Source organism: Homo sapiens, chromosome 3, assembly GCF_000001405.40.
Source record: "Homo sapiens chromosome 3, GRCh38.p14 Primary Assembly".
Classification (NCBI taxonomy): Eukaryota; Metazoa; Chordata; class Mammalia; order Primates; family Hominidae; genus Homo; species Homo sapiens.
This window is the reverse complement of record NC_000003.12, coordinates 49,703,554-49,730,760: the sequence shown is the minus strand read 5'-3', so window position 1 is coordinate 49,730,760 and position 27,207 is coordinate 49,703,554. Positions and strand designations below refer to the sequence as shown.

Sequence of the window (27,207 nt, the reverse complement as noted above, 5' to 3'; positions counted from 1 at the left end):
TAGGCAACAAGAGTGAAACTCCATCTCAAAAAAAAAAATACAAAAAATTAGTCGGGCATGGTGGCATGCGCCTATAGTTCCAGCTACTTGGGAGGCTAAGGCAGGAGGATCACTTGAACCTGGGAGGCAGAGGTTGCAGTGAGCTGAAATTGTGCTACTGCACTCCAGCCTGGGCAAAGGAGCAAGACTGCATCCTAAAAAAAAAGAAAAGAAATGTAAATCCAGCTTTTTCTAAAGATTCCTATTTGGGAATGTTAGAATCTGGTTTCCTTGTTTTTGTAGTAGTGCTACCAAGATGTCTTCCTTATTTCTTAGGCCTGGGCAAGGTGCTGGCTTGAGTAGGGCCTTGGTTCACTGATGGTGAGGGATGTATCCAAATCTTTAGTTTGCATATTGCCTGCAAGATAGGTCTAAAGATAACATAGGCTGGGTGTGGTGGCCCACATCTGTTATCTCAGCACTTTTGGAGGCCAAGGTGGGAAGATCACTTGAGGCTAGGAGTTCAAGACCAGCCTGGACAACATAGTGAGACCCTGTCTCTAAAAAAAACATTAAAAATTAGGTAGGCGGCTGGGCGCGGTGGCTCATGCCTGTAATCCTAGCACTTTGGGAGGCCGAGGTGGGCAGATCACCTGGAGTCAAGAGTTCCAGACCAGTCTGGCCAACATGGTAAAACCCTGCTCTACTCAAAATACAAAAAATTAGCTGGGGGTGGTGGCAGACACCTGTAGTCTCAGCTGCTTGGGAGGCTGAGGCAGGAGAATGGCTTGAACCCAGGAGGCAGAGGTTGCAATGAGCTGAGATTGCACCACTGCACTACAGTCTGGGTGACAGAGCAAGACTCTGTCTCAAAAAAAATAATAATTAAAAGAAAAATTAGGCATGCCTGTAGTCCTAGCTGTTCCAGAGGCTGAGGGTGGGAGGATCTTTTGAGCCCAGGTGGTCAGTGCTGCAGCGAGCTCTGGATCCAGCCACTGCACTCCAGCCTGGGCAACAGAGTGAGACTCTGTCTCAAAAAAAATAATAAAAAATAAAAATAAATAATAATAATAAGGCTGGGCACAGTAACTCTCGCCTGTAATCCCAGCACTTTGGGAGGCCAAGGCAGGCAGATCACTTGAGGTCGGGGGAGTTCAAGACCAACCTGACCAACATGGAGAAACCCCGTCTCTACTAAAAATACAAAATTAGCCAGGCATGGTGGCACATGCCTGTAATCCCAGCTACCGGGAGGCTGAGGCAGGAGAATCACTTGATACCAGGAGGCGGAGGTTGCGGTGAGCTGAGATAGTGCCATTGCACTCCAGCCTGGGCAACGAGCGAAACTCCGTCTCAAAAAAAAAATAAAATAAAAAATAACAAAAATAAATCAACATAAAAATACCCTAGAGCTTAGGTTAAAAAACCAAAAAACAACAACAAAAAAGTTTGTGATATATACATACAATGGAAAATTATTTAGCCAGAAAAAGGAATGAAATTTTGATACATGCTTACAACATAAATGAATCTTGAATACATTCTGCTAAGTGAAATAAGCCAGACATTTAAAATGACAAATACTGTATAATTCCACTTATGAGATACCCAGGAAAGGTAAATGTATAGAGACAGAAAGTAGACTAGAGGTTCCCAGGGGCTGGGAGGAGGGAAAATGAGGAGTCACTGTTCAGTGCTATTTAATGGGTACAAGCAGGAAAATGGCTTGAACCCCCTGAGACAGAGGTTGCAGTGAGCCGAGATGGCGCCATTGCATTCCAGCCTGGGTGACAGAACGAGACTCCATCTAAAAAAAAAAAAAAAATTAGGCATGCCTGTAGTCCTAGTTGTTCCAGAGGCTGAGGGTGAGAGGATCTCTTTTCATTTTGGGAAGATGAAAAAGTTCTAGCTGGGCGTGGTGGCTCACACCTGTAATCCCAGCACTTTGGGAGGCTGAGGCAGGCGAATCACAAGGTCAGGAGTTCGAGACCAGCCTGGCCAACATGGTGAATCCCTGTCTCTACTAAAAATACAAAAAATGAGCCGGGTGTAGTGGCGGGCACCTGTAATCTCAGCTACTCAGGCAGCCGAGGCAGGAGAATAGCTTGAACCTGGGATGCAGAGGTTGCAGTTAGCCGAGATCACTCCAGGGCACTCCAGCCTGGGTAACAGAGCGAGACTCCGTTTCAAAAAAAAAGAAAAGTTCTAGAGATAGATGGTTGTGAGTAGAGATAGATGGTTGTGATGGTTATACAACAAAGTAAATGTACTTCATGCCACTGAATTGTACACTTAAAAATGGCTGAAGTAAATTTTATGTATATTTTACCACAGTTTTTATTGGTTAAGTAATAAGCCAGTGGTGTGAAACCCATATTTGAGAGTTTGAGACAAGTACATACTGCATTAGGTAAAAGCCCCCTTTTATAGAAAAACTGGGTTGTGCTTTCCTGGCTGGGGCTGATGGTGAGTGTGGTTGTCATTCTCCTTGACCGTGGCCCAGAGTTCCTCCTGCTTGAGAACGTGGTGCACCACTTCAAGTACCCCTGCGTGTTGGACCTGAAGATGGGCACGCGGCAGCATGGCGATGACGCGTCAGCTGAGAAGGCAGCCCGGCAGATGCGGAAATGCGAGCAGAGCACATCAGCCACGCTGGGCGTCAGGGTCTGCGGCATGCAGGTGAGTTACCTCTGCTCAGAGCCTAGGTGCTGCCACTTGCATGATTTGGGTTGTGCTCATACCTGCCTGCCATCTATGCCAAGTGTGTCCTCCTGAGCCCCTCTGTCCTTACCTGTTGACTTTGATATGGGCCTCAGGTGCAGGACCACTGTGAGAGTCTGCTGCCTCGACATTGGGACAAATAAGACTCTTGCCTGTCAACAAGATGTTCCGATGTTGGAGGAGGGCTCCAAAGCTGGGGGCAGGGAACCCATAGGCCTGGTATTGCTTTCTCTTGGTTCTGCAATGGGAAAACCCAGGGTGAATGTGGCCTGCCTGGTTCCACTTAGATAGGTGAGCAGAAAAGCTCAGGTTGGTCAAAGTCCCTTCCAGACAGTGTTTGCCCAGGGCACTGTGAGCTCTTCAGACTTCCCTGGCACTCACCCTGTCTGCCTCCTGGGGTTTCAGGTGTACCAGCTGGACACAGGGCATTACCTCTGCAGGAACAAGTACTATGGCCGTGGGCTCTCCATTGAAGGCTTCCGCAATGCCCTCTATCAATATCTGCACAATGGCCTGGACCTGCGACGTGACCTGTTTGAGCCTATCCTGAGCAAACTGCGGGGCCTGAAAGCTGTGCTGGAGCGGCAGGCCTCTTACCGCTTCTACTCCAGTTCCCTGCTTGTCATCTATGATGGCAAGGAGTGCCGGGCTGAGTCCTGCCTGGACCGCCGGTCTGAGATGCGTCTCAAGCACCTGGACATGGTGCTCCCTGAGGTGGCGTCATCCTGTGGCCCCAGCACCAGCCCCAGCAACACCAGCCCCGAGGCGGGTCCCTCCTCTCAGCCCAAGGTGGATGTCCGCATGATTGACTTTGCACACAGCACATTCAAGGGCTTCCGGGATGACCCCACCGTGCATGATGGGCCAGACAGAGGCTACGTGTTTGGCCTGGAGAACCTCATCAGCATCATGGAACAGATGCGGGACGAGAACCAGTAGGCCCTGTTCTGGGCCCCCAGAACCCCTTCCTCTCCACTGCAGGCAGGGACCATTGTTCTGAACTTGCCGTGAGGACACACAGACTTGCTTTTAAAGGGTTATATTTCTCTTTGGTGTAAACTAAAAGAAATGTTTTTAGCTGTAGCCTGGAATCCATATATATAAAGTGAAGGAGGGCAGACCACACGCCCTCTCAGCCAGGCTCCTCAGCTTTGTGGCTCTGACTGGTGTGTCCAGGCTGCCTTAGGAAGGAAGAGGTGCCCCTGGTGGGCTTGGCAGCAGGGACAGGGTGCCCTTGGACATTGGTTTCTCTTGTCTAGATCTTTGAGATCTGTGGCTGCAGGGCCCTGCTGATTGTAAGGTAAAGCCCTGGGCTGGTGCAGGGCCCCTCCACGCCCACTCTTCCCTTGTTCCCCAGAAGTAGAGGGCTCTGGGTGCCCATTTCTTGGGGGCTTTCCAGTCTTATGCTGTGGGTGTCAGCTAGCTCTTTAATAGGTGCCCTCAGGGCACCACAGGGCTGACTGCACAAAGCTGGACCCATCCTTCGGTCTGACCTTAGCATGGGGCTAGATTAATGAAGCTGGGCTGAGGCCAACTTATGGCAGAGGGCGGCGCCTGGGTTCCCCAGGCACCTGTTGGCACGTGACAGGTTGGCACCTGTCCTATTCCTGAAACAGCCTCTCTCACCAAGTTCCCTTGCCTAAGAAGGCCACTCCCTCCCACCCCACTGAAGTGGGGGATAGTCGGTGTCCTAGCAGGCCTCAGGGCCTCTGGTGGCTCTGGCCCAGACAGTATTTGCAGTTCTTGTGCTATGGGTGGGAGTCTTCTTCCTCAAGTTTCGGCAGCTGTGCTGCTGCTGGATGGGCTGCTCCTCCCAGGGCTCAAGGGCTGTGGTCCGCTCAGGGTCTCATTTCCCCAGGCCAAGTTCAAGGCAGCAGCCCTTTGTGAGGCGCTCTTGGCCCTGGGCCTGGAGGGAGAACTTTAAGCTTTTTTGCTCACAGGGACGTGGTATGGGCCCTGGGTGCAGGTGCCCACATTCTGCTAATGAGAGCTTTGTCTGATCAGTCCTGGGTCCATCAGTTTGTCCATGTGTCCGGCTGCCAGCCCGTCCCTTGGGATCCTTCCCCTGGGGTGTAGCCTTGTTCATTAGTATATACTCATTCCTTCATGCTTTCCTCAGCAGAACACTTCCACTTCTGAGGTGAGCTTTTGCCCCATGCCCTTCCTCCACAGGTGTTGCCTTTTTATAAAGACCTGATAGCAGAATAAATTGGTGTTTCCCTGTTGACCCAGCACCATTTCTGTGGGCCTAGAATATGGCCCTCAACCCTTAGAGTGGGGCAGTGAGGGCTTGAGGAGTGACCCTTCCTTTCTCATGGTTTTAGTCATTTTGGCTGCCAGCCCTTAATGGCACAGATCTGCTGCTTCTAACAGATGGCCAGGAGGTGACACCGATTTCAGCCATTGCCAAGGTTAGCACCCTCTCCTTTGAGCCTAGGGCCACACTGTTCATTGTCACTTTAGGCAAGTGCCTGTTTGGCTTTAAAGGTAAGCCTGCCAGCTGTGAGAAGCCTTGGTAACTGATGGACTCATTTCCTGGTCCTTAAAGATGCAGCCTCTTAAGGGCTCCTTGATGGATGCCATCTCTCCTAGCCCCCAGCCCTGGTGCCACTGGTGGGCAGGTTCCCATTCTTTGGGGCTGGGAGGGACAGCTTGCCTGTTTCTGGTCACAAATTACAGTCTTCTCTCCTGTACCATTCTGTGGCTTCAGCCATGGGGGCAGTAGCCCTTCATTAGTGTAGATAGTCATTCCCTGGTAGGGTGGAGGGTAAGACATAGGGTCTGGAACTGTTTGGGACCTTTTGGGGATGTCCTGTGCCTCCCAGATTCCTCGATTCTGGGAGGAGAGGCTGCCGCATTCTGCTGCTCCTCACAGCGAGCAAAGCTGCACCCACTTACATTCAGTATTTTCCTGGCACTACAAAGAGTGGGAAGGCCTGGGATTTGCTGCTGCTCCCTTAGAGCAGGGCCCCTCTTTTCAGCACTTTGGACACCTGGAGACCCAGCCCTGTTATTTAATGGTAGTGGGCAAGTGTGTGTGCATACTGTCTGCCACTGCTTTCTCCCTGCCCCATGCCAGAGAGCCCTGTCCCTGCCAGGCCCAGCCTTCTTAGCCCCAACTTGGGAACAAAGTGCAACATGGGATCATGGGTTGGGGTGCTCAGGTGAGCCCTCTCTATAGTGCTTCCCTGGGCCAAGCTGACACCAGCCCCTGAGGGTGGGGTGGGACGGGTGGTGCTTAAAAGAGGAAGGGGACCAGTGTAGCAACTTGCCAGGGACCCCACCCCTCCCTCTCTGGGCCTGTGCAGTGAGCATGGGGATTCCCATCAAGGGGCCTGGCACCTGTGCTAGTTACGTAGCCGCTGCTCACGCGCTCACTCCTGACCACATGCACGTTCCCTAGATGCAGACTGCTTTGAACTTTAAAGCTGTACAATTTGGTTATGTTTGTGCTGACTTAAAATATATTTTAATGAGGAAAAAATAATGGAGAACCCTGGGAAGGACCTGGTTCTTTTGCTTCTCGGGGAACTGTAAGCCCTCGCGTTCTGGGAATCGCTCTCTGCTGCTCTTTCCTGGAAGCTAAGCCTGTCTCCACCGCCCGAGGCCTGCGCCGGTGGCTCCCGCCGCAGTTGCGTTTGCTTTGGACCTTGCGTGCGGGGGAGGGGGTGCTCGGTCCGAGCCCGCTCCTTTCTGTACACCTAGCGCTGCCCGCCCCGCTTGTGTCTGAGGTCGTGTATGTCAAAAATAAAGCCGCTAGAAACGGAGGCGAGTCTGTCTTTGTGAAAATCCCGTGGCCCGGGAGCCTTCCCTGGTCACCCTCGGGGCGAGGCCGGGGCCGTGGGGCGGGGCCGGCGGCTGCTGGACCGCGGCGAAGCAGGGAACAAGGCCTCGCCCTTGGCGCCAGTTCCGCCTTTGGATCCGCCAATGGCCAGCTGACCCGCGGGTCCCGGCCCGGGTCTCCATGGCAGCCCGGCGTACTCGGGCGCTCATTGGCTACGTCTGTCGCAGCGCTGCGCTCCAACGTTCCGACGCCGGCGGCCGTGCCACGTACGCGGCAGCCGATTGGCCCGCGGTGGTCGCGTCACTGCCCGCGCCGGGTCCGGCCTGAGTTCGGGGCCAGCAGCCGTCTACCCGGTGTCGCGTTCTGTGTTGTGGCGGCCCTGGATCCGGCGTCAGGGCGACCGGGCGGACGAGGTGGAGCCAGAGTCTGTCAGGCGGGTTGGTGAAGGGCGCGGGGCCGGGCACGGCGTTGGGAGTGCGCGGCAGGGACCGGCCAGGCGGGCTGCAGGCACCTCAGAGCCCGGGACACCCCCTCAACGTCCGCAGGCGCGATGAAGGCACTGATCTTAGTGGGGGGCTATGGGACGCGGCTACGGCCGCTGACGCTGAGCACCCCGAAGCCACTGGTGGACTTCTGCAATAAGCCCATCTTGCTGCACCAAGTGGAGGCGCTAGCCGCGGTAAGACCCTGGGTCGGGATCAGAGTCGCGTTCGGATCTGGCGGGACTAGGGATGGCCAGCGACTAGGGGTCAGGGGCTCCCGTACCTTCTGACTGAGCCCGCCCGTCGGCCTGCGTTCTGACAGGCAGGCGTGGACCACGTGATCCTGGCCGTGAGCTACATGTCGCAGGTGCTGGAGAAGGAAATGAAGGCACAGGAGCAGAGGGTGAGGCACAGACTCTTGGCCCTTATTCTCGGTCCCCGCCCAACTTCCCATCCTGGTAGAACCTGACTGGGGGGGCCTCTTCCTTCCAGCTGGGAATCCGAATCTCCATGTCCCATGAAGAGGAGCCTTTGGGGACAGGTCAGTAGAGGCAGAAAGGTCCCTTGGGGGAGGGTTTAAGGCCAGGAAAAGGGTAAGACCCAGCCTGGAGTGGGCCTGCTGAGCCTGAATCCAGGGACTCAGACCTCCAGCAAGGTGGTGACCTGTCCCCTTCCCCCAGCTGGGCCCCTGGCGCTGGCCCGTGACCTACTCTCTGAGACTGCAGACCCTTTCTTCGTCCTCAACAGTGACGTGATCTGCGATTTCCCCTTCCAAGCCATGGTGCAGTTCCACCGGCACCATGGCCAGGAGGGCTCCATCCTGGTAAGGCGCCAGGTCTTCTCTCTCTTGACACTTTCACCCTCCATGCCCAGCCTCCCATGCCCCCTAGCCTTCATCTGCCTTCGGATGTTATGGATACAGAGCTGTGCAGTATGTATCTTTAAGCACTTGGGGCAGAGTCTCTTGAGATCTGGAACGGCATGTGTATCAAGGCTTAGGAACACTGGACTAGGTCCGAGGTCCCCTTCCTTGCATTCAGGTGACCAAGGTGGAGGAACCCTCCAAGTACGGTGTGGTGGTGTGTGAGGCTGACACAGGCCGCATTCACCGGTTCGTGGAGAAGCCACAGGTGTTTGTGTCCAATAAGATCAACGCAGGCATGTACATCCTGAGCCCTGCAGTGCTGCAGCGCATCCAGGTGTGTAGGAGACAGCTGTTGGTGGGCTGGGGTGGGGCAGGCCATCACCGCCATGACCCTGCTCACAAGCTGCCCACTCCCACAGCTGCAGCCTACGTCCATTGAGAAGGAGGTCTTCCCCATTATGGCCAAGGAGGGGCAGCTATATGCCATGGAGTTACAGGGTGAGGCAGGGAGGCCACAGGGTGGGGGTGGTCTGTGGCTGGGCTGAGGCCCCTGATGCATCCCTCCCTACAGGCTTCTGGATGGACATTGGGCAGCCCAAGGACTTCCTCACTGGCATGTGCCTCTTCCTGCAGTCACTGAGGCAGAAGCAGCCTGAGCGGCTGTGCTCAGGCCCTGGCATTGTGGGCAACGTGCTGGTGGTGAGGCCCTTGCCCAGCCCATCATTAACCCCCTCAGTCTTGGGAGACAAGTGGCCCACTTGTATTTTTCCCACCGCTCTCAGGACCCAAGTGCCCGCATCGGCCAGAACTGCAGCATTGGCCCCAATGTGAGCCTGGGACCTGGCGTGGTGGTCGAAGATGGTGTGTGTATCCGGCGGTGCACGGTGCTGCGGGATGCCCGGATCCGTTCCCATTCCTGGCTTGAGTCCTGCATTGTGGGCTGGCGCTGCCGCGTGGGTCAGTGGGTAAGCCTGTGGGCTGGGCTGGGTGGGGAGAGGGGCGGGGAGTGTGCCTGCCTCCCTGACAAGGCCTATCCTCTCCTGGAGGTACGCATGGAGAACGTGACAGTGCTGGGTGAGGACGTCATAGTTAATGATGAGCTCTACCTCAACGGAGCCAGCGTGCTGCCCCACAAGTCTATTGGCGAGTCAGTGCCAGAGCCTCGTATCATCATGTGAGGGGATGCAGTGGGGCTGGCCGAGCCCCGGTTTTCCCATCAGCAAGGGGAGTGCTGGCCTGACACATCAGAAGACCCTGGACTTGTCATTATTTGTCTGGGGGGCACTGGGTGAAGCTGAAGCTGTTGGACACCTGCCTTCTCATGTGGACATCATCTGGCAGGATCCCTGCTGGGCACACCCCACAAACCCCACTCCCTCAAGAAGGGCCAGGGCCAGGGCTGTATGGAATAATAATTTAATGCTCACTGTGGCCCTGACTGAAAGTCAAGCTCAGGCACAATTAGGGCCATGGCTGGGCTCCCACCAATGAGGATACAGGCAGGCAAGGAGGTTGGATGTGGTGGTGTGGGATACAGGAGAAGGGCAAAGGGAGCTCATAAATAGGGCCCAGCCTGGCTCTGGGTTCAAAGGTGGAGGTTCCAGGATGGCACAGGCTGTGAGGGCTAGGCAGCTGAGGAGGTAGTACTCGTATTGGCTCCCTTCTCCCAGTCCTCTACAGACACGATGGTGGTTTTGCAGAAGAAGCAGTCCTTGTTGTTCATCAGGTGCTGGTTGATACAGGCTCTACAACAGGGGAGGGGATGAGGACTGCCCTGCATGTACCTACTGCTCTCCCCACCACCAAGCTGTGGGGCCCACTTACTTGCAGGACTTGTGGCCACAGGGCTGGAACACAGCAGAGATGGGGTGGGCATAGCAGATGGGGCAGAGGTCCTCCTCACTGGTGGGCTGCAGGGAGGAGAGTGAAGGGTGGGCTGGAGTTGGATGCCTGGCTATGTGGATGTCCGTTGTGCCTGTGTAGGAGTGCACACATATTCAAGTGGCATGGACCTGTGCACCGTGTTCCCACTCACCAGGGAGGCAGCTGCTGCCTGGGCAGATGCAGAGGTCAGGTGCGCCAGCATCTGTTCCACTTGGGCCAGCTCATCGGCACTGATATAATCCGCATCTGGGGAGTGGTAGGTAGTGTCAAGTCAGAGGTAGCTGAGGATGTGATGCCTCTTGAATATTCCCAGCCTAGGACTTTGCTGTTCTTAAGGCTCCTGACCCGACCCAGCCCCAGATTTCCCTGACCTGCCCCACCAGCCCACTCACAGCTCTGCAGGGAGAAGCGCTTCCGGTCAGGGGCTGGCAGAGCAGTGCCAGGTGCTGGGGGCTCTGGCTGTCCCAGGAGATAGCATATTGAGCGTAGCTGGAAGCAGGGATCTGCCAGGAGCACTGATGTGGCTTGCTCTCTCCTAGGTAGGGGAGGGTGCAAGGGCAGTCAGAAGGCTTGGGGCCTGGCTAAAAGTCTCTCTTGGGATTGCCAATGAGGAGTGCCATGGCTCGTACATGATCACCCCCCCTGCATCCTTTCCGTCTCCCTGCTTCCCAAACCCCAAGTCCTGTATTCTAGTAAGGTGCCACACAGCCTGTTTTTTTTTTTTTTTTCTTGAGACGAGTCTCGCTCTGTTGCCCAGGCTGGAGTGCGATGGCACGATCTCGGCTCACTGCAACCTCCACCTCCCGGGTTCAAGTGATTCTCCTGCTTTAGCCTCCCGAGTAGCTGGAATTGCAGACGCCCACCACCACGCCCGGCTAATTGTTGTATTTTTAGTAGAGACAGGGTTTCACCAGGTTGGCCAGGCTGGTCTCGAATTCCTGACCTCAGGTGATCCACCTGCCTTGGCTTCCCAAAGTGCTGGGATTACAGGCGTGAGCCACCGCGCCCGGCCTGGGGTACCACTTTAAGAAGGCTCAGGCGAACCACCTTAAGATAGTGAGAGTCTGCCTGCCCCATAATATTATCAGTCCTTCAAAGTCACTTCAAATAAACACTAACAGCAGCTTGGAGACATTCTTCCAGACTCCCCCTTTTACTCCCCGAGGAAAAACGAGCGGCGGAGAGCTGCCAGCCAAAGGCTGACGGGGACTTTGGGGTTGGCCTTGCTCCCCATCTGGCGGTCATGCGGGGCCATTGGGCACAAAGGGATGTAGCCGCCCCGCCTCCTCAAACGGGAACCAATAGGAGCCCGGGCCCCGCCCCTGGGGGGAGTATTTAGGAGCCGATCAGGAACTCGCTTGGAGAGGGCTAGCGAAGCCGAAGGGAGCGCGGCTAAGAGTGCCGCACCGCCTCACAACCTGGGAACCGGAGAGTAGGGGCCGTCGGCTGGCAAGAACCCGCCGTGCCTCCTCGGCAAGGGCCATCCGGTGCCACCCATGTCGCACTAGAGCAGAAGAGGGTGAGTCCTGGAACTGCAACCTGCACAGAGCTGCTCTGTACTGTCCCTGGTGGTCGCCGCCATGACCTGGTTGGTGCTGCTGGGGACACTGCTCTGCATGCTGCGCGTTGGGTTAGGCACCCCGGACTCCGAGGGTTTCCCGCCCCGTGCGCTCCACAACTGCCCCTACAAATGTATCTGCGCTGCCGACCTGCTAAGCTGCACTGGCCTAGGGCTGCAGGACGTGCCAGCCGAGTTACCTGCCGCTACTGCGGACCTCGACCTGAGCCACAACGCGCTCCAGCGCCTGCGCCCCGGCTGGTTGGCGCCCCTCTTCCAGCTGCGCGCCCTGCACCTAGACCACAACGAACTAGATGCGCTGGGTCGCGGCGTCTTCGTCAACGCCAGCGGCCTGAGGCTGCTCGATCTATCATCTAACACGTTGCGGGCGCTTGGCCGCCACGACCTCGACGGGCTGGGGGCGCTGGAGAAGCTGCTTCTGTTCAATAACCGCTTGGTGCACTTGGACGAGCATGCCTTCCACGGCCTGCGCGCGCTCAGCCATCTCTACCTGGGCTGCAACGAACTCGCCTCGTTCTCCTTCGACCACCTGCACGGTCTGAGCGCCACCCACCTGCTTACTCTGGACCTCTCCTCCAACCGGCTGGGACACATCTCCGTACCTGAGCTGGCCGCGCTGCCGGCCTTCCTCAAGAACGGCCTCTACTTGCACAACAACCCTTTGCCTTGCGACTGCCGCCTCTACCACCTGCTACAGCGCTGGCACCAGCGGGGCCTGAGCGCCGTGCGCGACTTTGCGCGCGAGTACGTATGCTTGGCCTTCAAGGTACCCGCGTCCCGCGTGCGCTTCTTCCAGCACAGCCGCGTCTTTGAGAACTGCTCGTCGGCCCCAGCTCTTGGCCTAGAGCGGCCGGAAGAGCACCTGTACGCGCTGGTGGGTCGGTCCCTGAGGCTTTACTGCAACACCAGCGTCCCGGCCATGCGCATTGCCTGGGTTTCGCCGCAGCAGGAGCTTCTCAGGGCGCCAGGATCCCGCGATGGCAGCATCGCGGTGCTGGCCGACGGCAGCTTGGCCATAGGCAACGTACAGGAGCAGCATGCGGGACTCTTCGTGTGCCTGGCCACTGGGCCCCGCCTGCACCACAACCAGACGCACGAGTACAACGTGAGCGTGCACTTTCCGCGCCCAGAGCCCGAGGCTTTCAACACAGGCTTCACCACACTGCTGGGCTGTGCCGTGGGCCTTGTGCTCGTGCTGCTCTACCTGTTCGCCCCACCCTGCCGCTGCTGCCGCCGTGCCTGCCGCTGCCGCCGCTGGCCCCAAACACCCAGCCCGCTCCAAGAGCTGAGCGCACAGTCCTCAGTACTCAGCACCACACCGCCAGACGCACCCAGCCGCAAGGCCAGCGTCCACAAGCACGTAGTCTTTCTGGAGCCAGGCCGGAGGGGCCTCAATGGCCGCGTGCAGCTGGCAGTAGCTGAGGAATTCGATCTCTACAACCCTGGAGGCCTGCAGCTGAAGGCTGGCTCTGAGTCCGCCAGCTCCATAGGCTCCGAGGGTCCCATGACAACCTAGACTGCCCAGGGCTCCCCCACCCAGGCCCCCACCCTCTTGCTGCTCGCCCTGCTCCCTGCTTCGGTCCAGAGAACTGGCAGATACTGGTGGGAAGCACTGTGCCTGGCCCCCCAGCTTCCTGTATGGGCCTCGAAACACAATGGGCCTTCTCGCTCACTGGTAGAGACAGGGGTTGTGGTCCCCAACCTGCCTTCTGCTCTGCCCCTGCACAGGACCCAAAGGCCCCAGGCCCTGCAAGGTGTGCTAGTTCCTGCTTTCCCGCGGACTTCCTAGTGCCCAAATGCCCTGTGAGGCTGAGAGACCCAGGCCCCTGTGGCTTTCAACACAGCACAGCTGTGGAAGTGGCTGTGTTCTTCTACAGCCTGTGGAAGAACCCCTGTAGCAGAGCCTCCCGTCCACCCTCAGGGGCTGAGACAGCTCTCGAGGAGTGGTGCTCAAGAGCTGACGCAGGGCCACCTCCCCTTCCCAAGGGGGTGGGAGGGAGTGGGCCCACAGGGAAAAGAAGGCGGCTCTGAAGGAAGATCTCGCCCACACCCCAGGACAGAAAGAGGAAACAAGCCCGCCCTCTGGTGAAATGGGACTCCCTCCATCCACCAACACCCAACCTCCTGAAAGCTTCACAACTTCACGCAGAGTCCGGTGGGCAGGCACCAGGCAGGAAAGGCTCCTCAAGAGGTTCCTGGTGGTCTGGCCTAAGCCCCAGCCAGAGGCCCTGCTCTCTCTGGCCTGGGGCATCCACCCGTTGTTCTGAAGGCAGAGCCCATTCTGTGGGCTCACAAGACACAGTGAAGGGGATCATGGCCTGCACCCCTGCTTTTCAGCAGTAAAAAGCCCGAAAAGCCTGGCGAGCATGGCCGAGCTGGGAGGGCCGAGCCGGAACTCCACGTCCCTCGAGAGCAGGAGCCTCTTAAGGGCTGGCACTGGTCTCAGCCTAATGGCTGAGGCGGTACCCTGGCTTCATATGCATCTCACTGCTCCCACTGCAGGGGGGCAGGGAAGGGGGGTCTGGGAGCCCTTCATGTGTGGGGGCCGAGCTGGGGGCCCCCATGGCCATCCTGGACCTCGCTGCTCCAGAGTTTAATAAAGGTAGCACATGCTTATTGCTAGAGCCTTTGCAGACAATGGCGGTCCTCCGTGTGTTCAGCTCTCCTGGCGGCCTGGCCCTGTCCACCACAGGACGGCACACCCTCCGGAGTCCTGCCTCCCATGCCTGGCCTGAGGCATGGCCACAAGCCAGTGGCTCTGTGGGCCAGGGCCACCTGTCCTGCTGGGGTCCCAGATTCTCCTACTTAGAGCAGCTCCGTCTGCCCCCTATTTAGGCCGTTCACACCTCACCACCTTCCCTCTGCCTCAAAACCTGATGCTGAGGTCCATTTTCCAGATGAGGAAACTGAAGTACCAGGAGGCCCTGTCCAGCCCCTCCTCACCAGACACACCCAACTCCCACAGGGGCCCACGGTCCCCAACACTCACTCTGAGGCTGGGCCACGCACCAGGAGCTGCACCAGGATGCCCGTCACTGCCACCAGAATGGGATAGTGGTCCACGCTCTCTAGGCCTGAGGGGAAGGGGAGGAAAGAGATGAGCCACCCACATGCTCCTGCTTCAAGGGCTCCAGGCCTGCCCACTGCCCTCTCTACAGAAGGGTGAGCCGAGACTGCAGAGCACCAAGTCTGGCTGTCCGGGGGCAGAATGTGGAATCAGGCCTCACTGTTCCTAGCAGAGGAACCGAGGCCTGTAGTGTGTTGGGGTGCAGGGCATCTAGGTCCTCACCAGGCAGCCGTAGGGTGACCACACGATCAAACAGGTTCCTCTCAGCTGTCACCCGGTTCAGCACCTGGTTTAGCAGCTGTGAGGGGAGCAGGAGTCCATTGGTGGATGGGGAGCGTCATCAATGGGGCATCCCCAGGGTCCCACCCTTGTTGCCCAGATGGCCACACCTGTGCAAGACGCCGCAGCAGCATCTCAGAGGTAGGCCGGGTCCAGTCAAGGAATATCTCAGGCACCAGTGTGATAGTCATCTCCAAGACACGCAGCAGGCTGACCGAGAGGTCAAAGCAGGTGGCACATACCTTGAGCTGCCGGCTGTCCACAAAGTTCCGCTCCAGGCGCTCAGCAGCCTGCTGGATCTGAGCCACCAACACGTGGGCATGCAGTGGTCAGCACCTGGCTCTAGCCCAGGACCAGGCCTCATCCCTTGCACCACCCTAACCCACGAGGCCCCACCACAGCCCACCTCTTGGATCATGCCAATGAATTCAGAGAAGGCCCAGTTGAGCTGATTGAGGACGCTGTTGAGGAAGCTGGGTGCCACATCAGGACCCTGCTGTAGGAGGTCCGCCATGTGCTGCTGCAGCAGGGTGGAAGGGCAGGGCTCTGCAGGGGGACAGGAGGCGGCATCATCAGGGACTCCACTGCAGTGGCCTCTGCCTGTTTGCCTCTGTCCTCGCCCATTGAGGCTTTGGTATAAGGACAGAAAGATGGCTCCCTAGGAATGCTCAGGTCATGAAAGCAGGGGACAGAGGACAGCTGCCTTGGAGTTAGTTGGGACAGAATCTGTCCCCTCCTTCTACTAGGCAAGCCCCAGGCTGCAGCTGTGTCCAGCCCTGACACCACACCATCCACTCCAGGTCCAGAGCAGCCACACAGCCACAGCCTGACCCTCAGCAAGTTCTGGGTCGCACACCCTTCAGATAGGGTCAGACCTAAACAGGGCGGCTTAGATGCTTCCCCACCGGCACCAAGGCCAGCTCCTCCAAGAGCCTACTCTAAGCCCTGCTGCAAACCTGCTGTCCTCTACTGTCCTCTGCTGCCCTTGGCCTGGCCTTGGCATATGGCCGAGGTGGTGGGCACCAAGTCTGGGCTGGCAGGCAGCAGTAACCGGAGCCCTCAGCTGCAACGGGCCTGGCGCACCTCCCCACCAGCTTGATACAAATCAATAGTTCCCGCAGCAGCAGGACAGGCCTGGCCCCACTGCCGCTCTCCACTTGCAGCTCAGTTCCGCCCTGGACGCAGGACCACGGCAATTGGCAAGGACTTGCTGTGTGACTTAGCAGAAGACACTCAGCCTCTCTGGGGACACCCTTTGGACCAAAACACTGCCCACAAGGGCAGAAACAGACTACATGAGCCAAGAAGAGCCACCATGAAGGGTGAGGACAGTGTGTGGCACACCTGGCACTCTGCAAGGGCCAGGCCTAGGGGAAAGTCCTTGCTGGACCCTGGAGAGAGGGCACAGCCTCTGCTCCCAACTAAATGTCCCTTCCTCCAGGAACTCTCGTGAATACCCTCTGGGGACCTGGCCAACCTCCAATCTGTGCTCCCAGTGGACTCAGGTGTCCAAGGCCTAAGCCAAGGCCAGGGTCTGCCACCAGCAGATAGCAAAAAAGAAGCAGAAGGACATGGTGCTGGGACAAGGCTGGAGGTCAGGGAGCTAGCTTAAAGGGCAAGGGACAGAGTATTCAGTCTGCATGAGCTGTAGCAGGCCAGGAACATGGTGCCGCCTCTCACCATGACCCACATAGAGCATCCAGGCCCAAAGGGCACATGTAGGTAAGACTGTGGGCAAGGCTGGGGAGGGGGAGTCCCATCCCGAGTATCCTTGGGCTGGAAGGAAGCAGGGAAAGTGGAAACCCCAGGGGACACGTAGGGAGTCTGGGACCCAATGGGGGAACCAGAGAGGGGCTGGAAGAAGTGGAGAGTCTGAAAGAACCCATGGGTAGGAGGTAAGCGCCCCCGCCTGCCTTGCCCAGGACTCGCCCAACCCAGATACTCACTCTGGAGGCTGGGCAAATTGGCGTCCTCAAGTTTGGTTTTCAGCAGATGTGGCAGCCGTGTATAGCGGTACCCGAAGCCACAGCCCTGTGGAGGTGGGGGTCAGTGCCCAGGTCAATGGGACAGCGCACCCTCTCCCTCCAGCCAGCCTCAGCCACTTCCCCTCGAGTCAGGCTTACCCTCCAGAGCCGCACCAGGATCCAGTTGGTCTGGGCCCAGGGCCGCTGCTCATAGGGCGCCAGGAGGTTCCTCACCATGGCGATACGCCTGTGAGGGCAAGGAGGGGAGAGACGGGGTGAGGCTGGGCATGGTGCTTGTGGCCAGGGTGTGTGCCCCCCAGGCCCCACTCACTGCTCCTCGGGGATTCGCTCCACAGCCCGCAGGGAGTGTGGGTAGCACACGTAGCTGGCCAGGGCCTGCATCAGTGAGTCTCGGATGTCTGCGGGGACACACCGTGCCTCAGCAGGGGCTTGGCATGAGCCCTGGACCCATACTTCATGCCCACCTGGCCACATTTTTCATAGAAGAAAGCCGACCAGAGGTGCCATCCCATCCCCCTCCCCCTGTACCCTCTGTAGGGGCCCCTCACCAGTGCCCACAATGCGTGCGTCGGCAAAGTGTTTGGCGAGAATGGCAGCCAGGCGGGTCAGGGTCTCTTCATAGCCTGCAAGGGTGGGAAGTGAGACGTGTCGGCTGGGAGTGGGGGCTCCAGAGGCAGGCATGTCAGCAGGGTGGGTGGACTTGGGTAGCAGGCTCTAGAGCTGGCTCCCAAGGCCAGCCTGGACCCAGGGTGGCATCTGGGGACATCGGGCAAAGCATTCATTGGTGGCTGTGCAAGGGCTAAGGCACAGGCTCACTGTGAAGGGATGACAGGCCCTGGCAGGAGCCCTGACCTGGGCTCAAACCCATCTCAGCACACACACCTGATGAGCAGTCAAAGCTCCTTGGGCACTCACAGCTCTGTCTTTGAAGACAAAGCCTGCACTGAGGCCTGTGGCTGGGCAGGGGGCAGGCTAGGGGCCTGACAGCTCACTGCCTGATCCAGACATACACTGCCACGCCCAGCCTGGAATCAGCAGGCTGAGAGGCCCAGGTTCGGATGTGGACCCTAGCAGGGTCCACCCCCTGCTGTGATTTACCAAGACAAACCATTCTGCCCCTGACCAACTGCTACGCTTTGTGACCAGTGCCAGGGAGTCAAGGTGCAAGGCCAGCTGGCTCCTGGACCATGGCAGTTGCTCATAGCACTAGGAAGGAAGTGAAAGCCAAGAGGTCTACACCCACCGTGTTCCATCTTGTCTGTTTTCCTTTGCTAGGGAGCTGTTGGCTCTGTGGCTGCAGGTCCCAGGGCAGGGTGCAGACGTTTGTTTGCTGCAGGGTGAACCACAGAGGAAGCTCCTCCCCTCCCCGCCCCCCACAGAAGTGTGTTGCTGGGCCACAGAGGTCTCAGACCAGGGCTCCTAGGGCTCACACTAGAGACCCCTTTTCTGCTTCTGCCTCAGCCTGAATGGTTCCATCACCTGGGAGCTCCTCCATGCTGTGCACGGGACCAAAGTAATTCTTGAGAGCACTGTAGCTGTTGATGGCCACGCTCAGGTAGAACTCGGGCATGAAGGCAAAGAGAGACCCTGTGCGATCACCGTGCTCAATGGTCCGCAGGCAGACGCGCAGCAGCCAGTAGATGTCCAGCATCTTCTCCTGCAGGAGGCACACGGGGTGCTGCTGGGTTGCGCACCAGTGGGGTCTTGGGGGCATGTCCTGGCCTGGGGATCAGGAAAGGCCTCCCCAGGCCTACGACAGCACAACTGAGACCTGGATTTCAGGAAGCATGAGCAGTAGCTCAAGCAGGGCAATCAAGTCCTCAGCAGGCAAGAGGGACGCACTCAGCCTGGAGGGCGCATTACTGTGACCCAGGCCAGAACTCTGGTCAGCATATTTGTAAGCAAGTTTTTTTTTTTTTTGAGATGGAGTCACCCAGGCTGGAGTGCAGTGACGCCCTCTTGGCTCACTGGAAACCTCCGCCTCCCAAGTTCAAGGGATTGTCTTGCCTCAGCCTCCCGAGTAGCTGGGACTACAGGTATGTGATACCGCGCTCGGCTAATTTTTGTATTTTTAGTAGAGATGGGGTTTCGCCATGTTGGCCAGGCTGGTCTTGAACTCCTGACCTCAGGTGATCTGCCTGCCTCAGCCTGTAAGCAAGTTTTAGGCAAGAGGGTGCTGTGACTGGAAGTCTGTGTGGAAAAGTGGAGTACAAGGTGTGTGAAGGGCCCAAGAGAGCTGGCGATGGTAAGCAGACAGGCAGAAATTTGATCTGGAGTGCAAAGGAGAAGGTGGTGGGAAAGCAGGGGGCAGTGTGACTGGTGGAACAGAGGTCACAGGAAACAGACAAAACCTGCTGAGGGCCCTGCTCCCCACAATGTGGTTTCCACAAAGTCTATGTCAGGGTCTCACAAAGGAGCCCAGGCAAGAATGAGGCCTCAGGCCCCAGCCCAGACCCACAGCACCCGTGTGTCTTGGAGTGCGGTCACAGCACCTGGGCTTCACACCAGCTCTCTGATGTGCCCTAAAGCCCAAGGAACTGAGGAGAAGATGTAAGCAAGAGGTTAGGGGAGGGCCTAGGCGCAAACCTAGGCAGCGATGATCCTGCTGCTACAGAAGGCCAGCGAAGACTGTGTCTGGTGAGGGGCTGGCAATGGCCCCATCAGAGCTAAGGTATCAATGCAAAGGAGATGGAAATGTGCCGGCCGGATTGAGATGGGGGCAGACAGAGACCCTGGTGAGACTATTTCAGAGATGGGGAAGAGCCTGTGCTGGAGGGAGATGAAGGGGAAGATGTAGCAGCTAAGACAGAGAAAGAAGGAGAGAGCATAACTTTTGGGCACATATAGCGTCAAGGCTGGAATGCAGTGGCACAATCACAGCTCACTGTAACCTGGAACTCCTGGGCTCATGTGATCCTCCTACAGGTATGTGATACCACGCCCTGCTAATTTTTGTATTTTTAGGAGAGATGGGGTTTCGCCATGTTGGCCAGGCTGGTCTTGAACTCCTGACCTCAGAGTAGCTGGGACTACAGGTATGTGTCACCATGCCCCGCTAATTAAATTTTGTTTTTTTTGTAGAGATGGGTTGCCCAGGCTGGTCATGAACTCTTGGCTTCAAGTGATCCTCCCGCTTCAGCCTCCCAAAGTGCTGGTTTACAGGAGTGAATCTCTCCATTAATAATGGGATTAGAAAGACACAGGTGAGTTAGTGCTGAAGATGCAGAGAATGAAGGCAGTTCAACATAATAAAGACCATATATGAAAAGCCTCCATCTAACATCACACTCAGTGGTAACAGACTATAATCCCTCCCTCCCTCAGACCAAGAACAAGACAAGTGTGCCACTTTCTCTACTTCTGCTCAGCACAGTCCTGGAAATCCCAGCCAGAGCAACTAAGCATGAAAAAGAAAGGAAACCACACTGGAAAGGATAAAGTAAAATTATCTCTGTTCACAGACATGATTTTATAAGTAGAAAATCCTAAAGATACACACACACACACAAAACCCCAACTAGGATTAATAAATAAATTCAGCAAAATTATAGGATATGGCCAGGCGCGGTTGCTGAAGCCTGTAATCCCAGCACTTTGGGAGGCCGAGGCAGGCGGATCACCTAAGGTCAGGAGTTTGAGACCAGCCTGACCAACAAGGTGAAACCCCATCTCTACTAAAAATACAAAAATTAGCCGGGCGTGGTGGCGTATGCCTATAGTCCCAGCTACTCAGGAGGCCGAGGTGGAAGAATCGCTTGAACCTGGGAGGCAGAGGTTGCAGTGAGCCAAAATCTTGCCACTGCACTCCAGCCTGTGCCACAGAGCGAGACTCCCTCTCAAAACAAAACAAACAAACCAACAAACAAAAGATATGCAAATGGCCAATAAGTGCTTGTAAAGGTACTATTTGTCATAATGTCACTAATCATTAGCAAAATGCAGAACCACAATAAGGTACCATATCCTACCCATTAGGATTTACTATTAAAAAAGTAGAAATTGCCGGGTGTGGTGGCTCATGCCTATAATCCCCGCACTTTGGGAGGCCGAGGCAGGAGGATTCCTTGAACCCAGGAGTTTGACAACTGGGCAACATAGTGAGACCCTGCGTCTACCAAGAAAAAAAAAGGGCAGAAAATAAGAAGTGTCGGTAAGGATATGTATGGAGAAATTGGAACCCTCATGCACTACTGGTGAGAATGTAACAGGCACAGCCACTGTAGAAATGATATGGTAGTTTCCAAAAAATTAAACAACAGAATTGGCCGGGCGCGGTGGCTCATGCCTGCAATCCCAGCACTTTGGGAAGCCGAGGCAGGCGGATCACCTGAGGTCAGCAGTTCAAGACCAGCCTGACCAACACGGTGAAACCCCATCTGTACAAAAAATACAAAAATTGCAGGGCGCGATGGCTCACGCCTGTAACCCCAGCACTTTGGGAGGCCGAGGCGGGCGAATCACCTGAGGTCGGGAGTTCAAGACCAGCCTGATCAATATGAAGAAACCCCATCTCTACTAAAAAAAAATACAAAATTAGGCCAGGCGCGGTGGCTCACGCCTGTAATCCCAGCACTTTGGGAGGCCGAGGCGGGTGGATCACGAGGTCAGGAGATCGAGACCATCCTGGCTAACACGGTGAAACCCTGTCTCTACTAAAAATACAAAAAATTAGCCGGGCGTGGTGGCAGGCGCCTGTAGTCCCAGCTACTCGGGAGGCTGAGGCAGGAGAATGGTGTGAACCCGGGAGGCGGAGCTTGCAGTGAGCTGAGATAGCGCCATTGCACTCCGGCCTGGGTGAAAGAGTGAGACTCTGTCTCAAAAAAAAAAAAATACAAAATTAGCTGGGCGTGGTGGCACATGCCTGTAATCCCAGCTACTCAGGAGGCTGAGGCAGGAGAATTGCTTGAACCTGGGAGGCAGAGGCTGCCGTGAGCCGAGATCGCGCCATTGCACTCCAGCCTGGGCAAGAAGAGCAAAACTCCACCTCAAAAAAAGAAAAAAAAAATCACAAAAATTAGCCGAGCATGGTGGTGCGCACCTGTAGTCCCAGCTACTCGGGAGGCTGAGGCAGGAGAACACTTGAACCCAGGATGTGAGCCGAGATCGCACCATTGCACTCCAGCCTGGGTGACAGAGTGAGACTCCATCTCAAAAAAAATAAAAAATTAAAATTAAAAATAAAATAAAAAACAGAATTACCATATGATACAGTAATTCCACTTCTGGGTATATAACCAAAAGAATTGAAATTAGGGTCTCAAAGAGATCTTTGCAAACCCATGTTCATTACAGCATTATTCACAGTAGCCCAAAGTAGAAGCAACCCGAGTGTCCATCAGCAAAGGACTGGATATATGAAATGTGGTGTCCGTACAACAGAATATTATTCAGCCTGGAAAATGAAGAAATTCTGACACATGCTATAACACGAATGAACCTTGAGGACATTATGCTAAAGCCATACACAAAAGAACAAATAGTGTATGATTCTTCCTAGATGAGGTGCTTAGTATAGTCAAATTCAGAGACAGAAAGTAGGATGGTGGTTGCCAGGGGCAACCTGAGCTAGCCTCAGAACAGGGCCATGGTGGTCCCCTCATGACATGGAAGTAAGGCCCAGCTGGGGGTCTGTGAGCCGCTGGCCAGAGCACTCAGGGACCTGATGCCAGAACCACTGCTCCCCCAGCTGCCAGACCCAGGGATCTGCTGACAGGTGGGGATGGGTGGGAGCTGTCAGGGAAGCTGGGGAAGGGAGGACAGGAGGTTTTGTTCAACAGGCACGGAGTATCAGTTTTGCAAGATGAAATGAGTGTGGAGATTGGCTGCACGACAATGTGAATAGACTTAACACTTAAAAATGGCTATGATGGGTGACCGGGCACAGTGGCGCACGCCTGTAACCCCAGCACTTTGGGAGGCCGAGGTGGCAGGATCACATGAGGCCAGGAGTTTGAGACCAGCCACGCCAACAAAGTGAAACCCTGTCTCTACCAAAAAATACAAAAAGTAGCTGGGCGCGGTAGCACATCTATAATCCAGGAGAACTGCTTGAACCCGGGAGACAGAGGTTGCAGTGAGCCAAGATCATGCCATTGCAGTCCAGCCTGGGCAACAGAGTGAGACTCTGTCTCAAAAAAAACACAAAACAAAACAAAACAAAAAAAACACAGCTAGGATGGTACATTTTATGTCACACATATTTTAGCATAACTAAAAAAAGGCAGAGAGATGAGAGGGCAAGGGTCTTGAGAAGACAGTGTGGGAGAGGGCAGCCAAACTTCTGAGGGAGGTGGGCAGGCAGGAAATCTCAGGGCAGAAGGGAGAGGAAGTTCCCGTCATGGGGCAGTAAGCACGGTCATCCAGGGTAGCAGGAGAGTCACGAATGGGAAAAAGGTGGAGGTGGTTTGGGTTTTGCAAAAGAGCCATGAGAAGAAACAGCAAGCAGAGATGATAGAAATGGGGATACCAAAGGCCTCGATCACCCAGTCATGCAGGGGTATGCCCAAGAAGACAGCAGATACCCTGACCTGGGCACCTGAAGAGACCCTCAGGGCACTCACTGGTTAGGGAAGAGATGCCAAGAGGGGCAGGGAGAGGAAACAAGTCCAGAGAGTCTGAGGCCTGGGGGTGAAACTTCAGTCACAGCAGGAGTGCCCCATCCATCTGTCTGTCCATCCATGTATCTGACCAGGCTGAGTGCCTTCAGAAGGCAGAGGCTCATCTTTCTGACTTATTAATGTGTGTGTGTCCCTAGTTCCAGGACAGCACCTGGCACACACCAGGTTTTGAGTGCATGTTATTGAATGAATGAGCAAGTGAATGAGTGAGTGGGGAACAAGCCAGTGGCCTCGGGTGGTAATGAGTCAGACAGAGGCAGGCACAGATGGTGGAGTGTGCCTCCGGGAAAGACTGCAGAGCCCCTGATGCACTGGGAGAGAAGGACGGGGGCCAAGAAACTGGGAGGGGGTGGGAGCAGGGGAGGCAGACAGACAGAGTTTGTTCCTCGAAGGACAGGTCTATGAGGCGAACTGGAGGTCCAGAAACTGCGCTTCCTCAGTCCACAGAGCATGAGGGGTACAGGGGACATGGCATGGGGTGATGGAGTCTGAAGTGTGGGAAGGGACATGTGTGTGCCAGAGGCCTGAGAGGGTGGGGGCATCAAGGGCCCTGGCACAATCTTGCTAGACCCGTGGCCAGACAGTGAGGTCGGGAAGGGGCAGCTGCAATACCAGCACACCTGGGAGTAGACAGTGGCATGGACCCAGGCAAGACGGCGGCTCAGGTGGTCCAGCTTTTCTGAGAAAACCTTCTGGCTCTTGGTCAACTCTGCAAGGATGTCCTTCCTCTGCCACCCAAGGGGAAAGGAGGACAATCAAGACATGGCCCCATACCCAGGTCCACCCTGATCCTGCAGGCAGCCTAGGAAGGGCCCTCTAGTGCCTGGAGCAGGCAAGGGATTGGGCTCCATTTTTCAAAACCTTCTTCTGCCACTGACCCTCTGGTGACCCTGAGCCAGCCTCAGAACAAGGCCATGGTGGTCCCCTCATGACATGGAAGTGAGGCCCAGCTGGGGGTCTGTGAGCCGCTGGCCAGAGCACCCAGGGACCTGATGCCAGAACCGCTGCTCCCCCAGCTGCCAGACCCAGGGATCTGCTGACAGGTCGGGGTGGGTGGGGGCTGTCAGGGAAGCTCAGCCTGGACACACTGGGCCCCACCTTCCTGGGCTAGGGCAGCTACAGCAGAGGGCTCCGGAGGGTGCAGTGGAGCCAGGCCCTGCTTCCTGCTGACTCTGCAAGTGGCCGAGGAAGCACTCAGGGTCAATGAATAATTGATGAGGAGAGTGGGTGTGCTTCAGCACTTATTGGGCCCAGGGGGTGGGGGGCACCTAGGCACAGGCCACACTGGTGATGGGTGCCAGGCCTTGCTGCCAGCCCCACTCTCACTGGCGTGCTATGGCCAGGGCTAGAGTGGGGATGAGAACTGCCAGGGCAGCCCCCAGAACCAGACTTCATCTGTGGTTACCTGTACGAGTAAGCAAGCTGCCCCTCACCAAGACTATGTGGGCCTTACCCTCTTGGGGCACCGGCGGAGCTTGTCCTCTGTGTCCCTCAGAGCCATAGCGTATTCATTGACATCATCGGAGACACCCACCATCTACACAGCATGGGACCACATGTCCAGAGTGCCCCTTGGGCACTTCATCCAGGCTTCTTCAGACCCAGTCTGGACCCCAGCCCTGCCAAGGTCCCAACCTTAGGCCCAGGGCGGTCCCATTCCCACAACAGTCAGCAGGTCAGACTGAGGCAGCAGGAGCAGAAACCAGCCTCGCTGAGGCATGTGCTCCCATGCACGGTCTTGAACAGGCAGCCCTGCGGGCCCATGTGCACACAGGAATACACACACAACCAAACACGCACAACACCCGCCACCCAATGCGGGGTCCAAGAGTGCACGACCTTGCCCAGCTGCTGGTGTACGCTGAGGTTGTACATCATGACCGCCCCATCCAGGACTTCCAGCAGCGAGTTCTCGGTGAGGGGCTGCTCAGGCTCCTCGGGGGGCCGCCCCAGCAGCAAGCCCTCATTCCAGTGGCTGCCTTCAACTGGGGAGTTGGGGAGGGAAGGGTCAAGGGTAGGGCCATCCCGGCTCTCCTGAGCCTGCCTCACAGCAGGAGAGGAAATCATCTCTCCCATTCCTGTGCCCAAGGAGGGACCCGCGGGGAGCCCATGGGGGCATGGGGGTAGGGGTGGAGTGCAGGGCAAGGCCTGCGGTGCCAGGACCTATTTCTGCGGCATTGATCTCCTGCCCTCGGAGTGTGCTTCCTGCACTCCTGGGATGCTGCCAGGCCACAGGGCTGGGAGGGCATGGGGTGTATTTTGGCTTTGCCCGGATCGGGGACTGTACACTGTGGAAGGGTCCTTCGGGGACCTGCCTGACCCCACCAAGCACCTACTGTCCTCACGGGTCCTCTGCTCCACGCTCAGCGTGCGGACCTTCACTTTCTCCGAGGTGCTCAGAGGCCGCCGTGGGGTCATGAGGCTCACAGCCGCTGTGCTGAGGAAGCGGTTGGCTCGGCCCAAAGTTGGAGAACTGAGCCAGCCGGGCCGGGGCAGGGGCAGTGGCCCCCCAACAGCCAGGGCCTGCATGGGGCGCTGCAGTGAAGAAAGGCGGCCAGGACCAGGGCTGGCTCAGGGTTCCCTTGGCCCACGGGGCTGCAGAATTGTGAGGGAGGGTCCATGCCTCCACCCACAGCAAGGCACCAGCCCAGTGAGAAACCCTTTGCCTGCATGGAGCGGGAAGTGGCCCTGGATGAGACCCCTGCCCATAAGATACAGGATAAGCCCAACACAAATCCCACCGCCTGCCCCCACTGCGGCACCTGGGCCATAGCTGGGGCTGGCTCCTCATCCTCATCTAGGTCATCCATGGCGGTTGACTGGAGCTCCAGTGGGTCGATCACAATGTTGGCTTTGGAAGCAAGGTCATCTGGGAGGAAGAGCAGGAGGGTTCTCAGGCCAGTGGTGGCGCAAGGGGCCACAGTGGAAGTGCCCAGGACGGTGAGAGAGCCCAGCACACTGGGCAGGAGGCCTTGCAGAGCCCGGTTTAGCACCGTATCTGCCCCTCGCCCCTCCGCCTCCTCCACCCAGCCTTCACTCTGCATCTCAAGGGCCCCGTCTAGCTGCCACTCAGTAACAGGAGGCCTTCCCCATCACACCCTTCTTTTTCATTTATTTTCAAATTGACTTTCTTTATTCTACATAGATGTAAGCCCATCATGCCCTTCCTGCTGGTCCCTGGCTTTGTTTCCCAGGACTTCCTGCTCTCCAGGGCCTCCCCCACTCTCTGACTACTCCATAAACAAAAGGAGATGCCAGGGCTGCTTCATTCTGGGCACTCCCAGTGGGAGCCAAGCCTCATCCCAGGCTCATCCCCACCACCGTGCTGACAACTGACCCCGCCTTCGCTGCCCCCCGCCCAGGCCTTGCTCCCCGCTAAACGCGCTGTGTCCAAACAGAATTTCTCATCTCCACCACCTCCTGCAGCCCCTCTCCCTGATGGCACCCCATCCACACAACCTCTGGCAGGAAGCCTGGGGTCATCCTGACTCCTCTCCTCCACCTGTGCCCTCCCCTACCTACCTGGGCAGGCCCTTATCTCCTGTGTGGGGACACCTGGGCTCCCTGTCTCTCAGCCCCTGCACTCCGGCGTATACACTGCGGCAGCCAGAGAGAGGTTCTGACAGCACAGACCCACCCTTGTGCCCGGCTCAGGGCCTTGCTCTCGCTGTGCCCTCAGCCCTGCACCGGGGCAGCTTGTGCTCATCCCTGAAGGCAGCTCCGGCAGCACCTGCACGCCCCATCCACACCTCACCAAGATCCCTGGTCCCCTGCCAGGCACGCCCGACCCCTATGGCGTGGGTGCTGGCGGGAAAGAGAAGCTGCCCAGATGTAGGGCAGGCAGATCAGTGTCTCCCTGCCTGAGTGGGTGGAAAGACTTGGGCACCCTCTGGTGGCCATAGGATGGCTCAGCATCCACAGCAGAGCAGGCTCAGGGACAGTCCCCCACCTGGCCCCAGAACTGC

General features: G+C 56.8%; 4 protein-coding genes across 10 annotated transcripts in view, besides 8 other annotated features; 3 read left to right on the top strand and 1 right to left on the bottom strand.

Annotated features, from left to right (window-relative positions):
- IP6K1 (inositol hexakisphosphate kinase 1) overlaps window positions 1–6,467 on the top strand; it is a 62,249-nt gene extending 55,782 nt beyond the window's left edge. For all 5 annotated transcript variants that reach the window (NM_001006115.3, NM_153273.4, XM_047449323.1 and 2 more), the window contains 2 exons: window positions 2,483–2,658; window positions 3,106–6,467. In NM_001006115.3, the coding sequence (NP_001006115.1) occupies window positions 2,483–2,658; window positions 3,106–3,639 (710 nt within the window). In that variant the 3' untranslated portion in view covers window positions 3,640–6,467. The remainder of the gene's footprint in view (window positions 1–2,482; window positions 2,659–3,105) is intronic.
- Window positions 6,317–6,766: a silencer, noted in NCBI's record as "silent region_14372". NCBI's record gives its function as "represses an Ori minimal core promoter by ATAC-STARR-seq in GM12878 lymphoblastoid cells {active_cell/tissue: GM12878}" and the evidence as "EXISTENCE:reporter gene assay evidence [ECO:0000049][PMID:35858748]".
- GMPPB (GDP-mannose pyrophosphorylase B) lies at window positions 6,810–10,845 on the top strand. Of its 2 annotated transcripts, NM_021971.4 has the most exons (9): window positions 6,810–7,163; window positions 7,289–7,369; window positions 7,459–7,507; window positions 7,647–7,789; window positions 8,007–8,165; window positions 8,251–8,329; window positions 8,403–8,530; window positions 8,614–8,796; window positions 8,878–10,845. In NM_021971.4, the coding sequence occupies exons 1-9, from the start codon at window positions 7,035–7,037 to the stop codon at window positions 9,007–9,009; spliced, it is 1,083 nt and encodes a 360-aa protein (NP_068806.2). In that variant the 5' UTR covers window positions 6,810–7,034; the 3' UTR covers window positions 9,010–10,845. The 2 variants fall into 2 exon arrangements, with proteins under 2 accessions (NP_068806.2, NP_037466.3); NM_013334.4 differs by having other exon boundaries at window positions 8,614–9,262.
- Window positions 7,407–7,506: an enhancer, noted in NCBI's record as "active region_19874". NCBI's record gives its function as "activates an Ori minimal core promoter by ATAC-STARR-seq in GM12878 lymphoblastoid cells {active_cell/tissue: GM12878}" and the evidence as "EXISTENCE:reporter gene assay evidence [ECO:0000049][PMID:35858748]".
- RNF123 (ring finger protein 123) overlaps window positions 9,232–27,207 on the bottom strand; it is a 31,973-nt gene continuing 13,997 nt past the window's right edge. The window contains exons 22-39 of one of the 2 annotated variants that reach the window (NR_135218.2): window positions 26,005–26,111; window positions 25,575–25,777; window positions 25,082–25,227; window positions 24,696–24,779; window positions 23,863–23,970; window positions 17,869–18,282; window positions 17,174–17,248; window positions 16,936–17,023; window positions 16,764–16,851; window positions 16,587–16,671; window positions 15,047–15,186; window positions 14,751–14,939; window positions 14,584–14,659; window positions 14,284–14,368; window positions 10,108–10,250; window positions 9,867–9,961; window positions 9,656–9,741; window positions 9,232–9,576 (exon numbers count right to left, since the gene is read on the bottom strand). Coding sequence is in view for 1 of the 2 variants with exons in the window: in NM_022064.5 (NP_071347.2) it covers window positions 9,456–9,576; window positions 9,656–9,741; window positions 9,867–9,961; window positions 10,108–10,250; window positions 14,284–14,368; window positions 14,584–14,659; window positions 14,751–14,939; window positions 15,047–15,186; window positions 16,587–16,671; window positions 16,764–16,851; window positions 16,936–17,023; window positions 17,174–17,248; window positions 18,105–18,282; window positions 23,863–23,970; window positions 24,696–24,779; window positions 25,082–25,227; window positions 25,579–25,777; window positions 26,005–26,111 (2,093 nt within the window). In the remaining variant the exon portion in view is untranslated. The remainder of the gene's footprint in view (window positions 9,577–9,655; window positions 9,742–9,866; window positions 9,962–10,107; window positions 10,251–14,283; window positions 14,369–14,583; window positions 14,660–14,750; window positions 14,940–15,046; window positions 15,187–16,586; window positions 16,672–16,763; window positions 16,852–16,935; window positions 17,024–17,173; window positions 17,249–17,868; window positions 18,283–23,862; window positions 23,971–24,695; window positions 24,780–25,081; window positions 25,228–25,574; window positions 25,778–26,004; window positions 26,112–27,207) is intronic. The other variant, NM_022064.5, reaches the window with a different exon arrangement.
- Window positions 9,541–9,718: a silencer, noted in NCBI's record as "fragment chr3:49758476-49758653 (GRCh37/hg19 assembly coordinates)". NCBI's record gives its function as "represses an EF-1alpha promoter that drives an FKBP-Casp9 reporter gene in an ReSE screen in K562 erythroleukemia cells {active_cell/tissue: K562}" and the evidence as "EXISTENCE:reporter gene assay evidence [ECO:0000049][PMID:32094911]".
- Window positions 10,713–10,942: an enhancer, noted in NCBI's record as "active region_19873". NCBI's record gives its function as "activates an Ori minimal core promoter by ATAC-STARR-seq in GM12878 lymphoblastoid cells {active_cell/tissue: GM12878}" and the evidence as "EXISTENCE:reporter gene assay evidence [ECO:0000049][PMID:35858748]".
- Window positions 11,077–13,932, top strand: AMIGO3 (adhesion molecule with Ig like domain 3). Its single transcript, NM_198722.3, has one exon. The coding sequence runs from the start codon at window positions 11,296–11,298 to the stop codon at window positions 12,808–12,810; it is 1,515 nt and encodes a 504-aa protein (NP_942015.1). The 5' UTR covers window positions 11,077–11,295; the 3' UTR covers window positions 12,811–13,932.
- Window positions 11,304–12,111: an enhancer, noted in NCBI's record as "H3K27ac-H3K4me1 hESC enhancer chr3:49756083-49756890 (GRCh37/hg19 assembly coordinates)". NCBI's record gives its function as "activates a minimal SCP1, AML or CMV promoter by ChIP-STARR-seq in naive H9 embryonic stem cells {active_cell/tissue: H9 hESC(naive)}" and the evidence as "EXISTENCE:reporter gene assay evidence [ECO:0000049][PMID:30033119]".
- Window positions 11,713–11,822: an enhancer, noted in NCBI's record as "active region_19872". NCBI's record gives its function as "activates an Ori minimal core promoter by ATAC-STARR-seq in GM12878 lymphoblastoid cells {active_cell/tissue: GM12878}" and the evidence as "EXISTENCE:reporter gene assay evidence [ECO:0000049][PMID:35858748]".
- Window positions 13,157–13,657: an enhancer, noted in NCBI's record as "H3K4me1 hESC enhancer chr3:49754537-49755037 (GRCh37/hg19 assembly coordinates)". NCBI's record gives its function as "activates a minimal SCP1, AML or CMV promoter by ChIP-STARR-seq in primed H9 embryonic stem cells {active_cell/tissue: H9 hESC(primed)}" and the evidence as "EXISTENCE:reporter gene assay evidence [ECO:0000049][PMID:30033119]".
- Window positions 26,911–27,205: a silencer, noted in NCBI's record as "tiled region #3541; K562 Repressive non-DNase unmatched - State 18:Pol2". NCBI's record gives its function as "represses a minimal TATA promoter and a strong SV40 promoter by Sharpr-MPRA in K562 cells {active_cell/tissue: K562}" and the evidence as "EXISTENCE:reporter gene assay evidence [ECO:0000049][PMID:27701403]".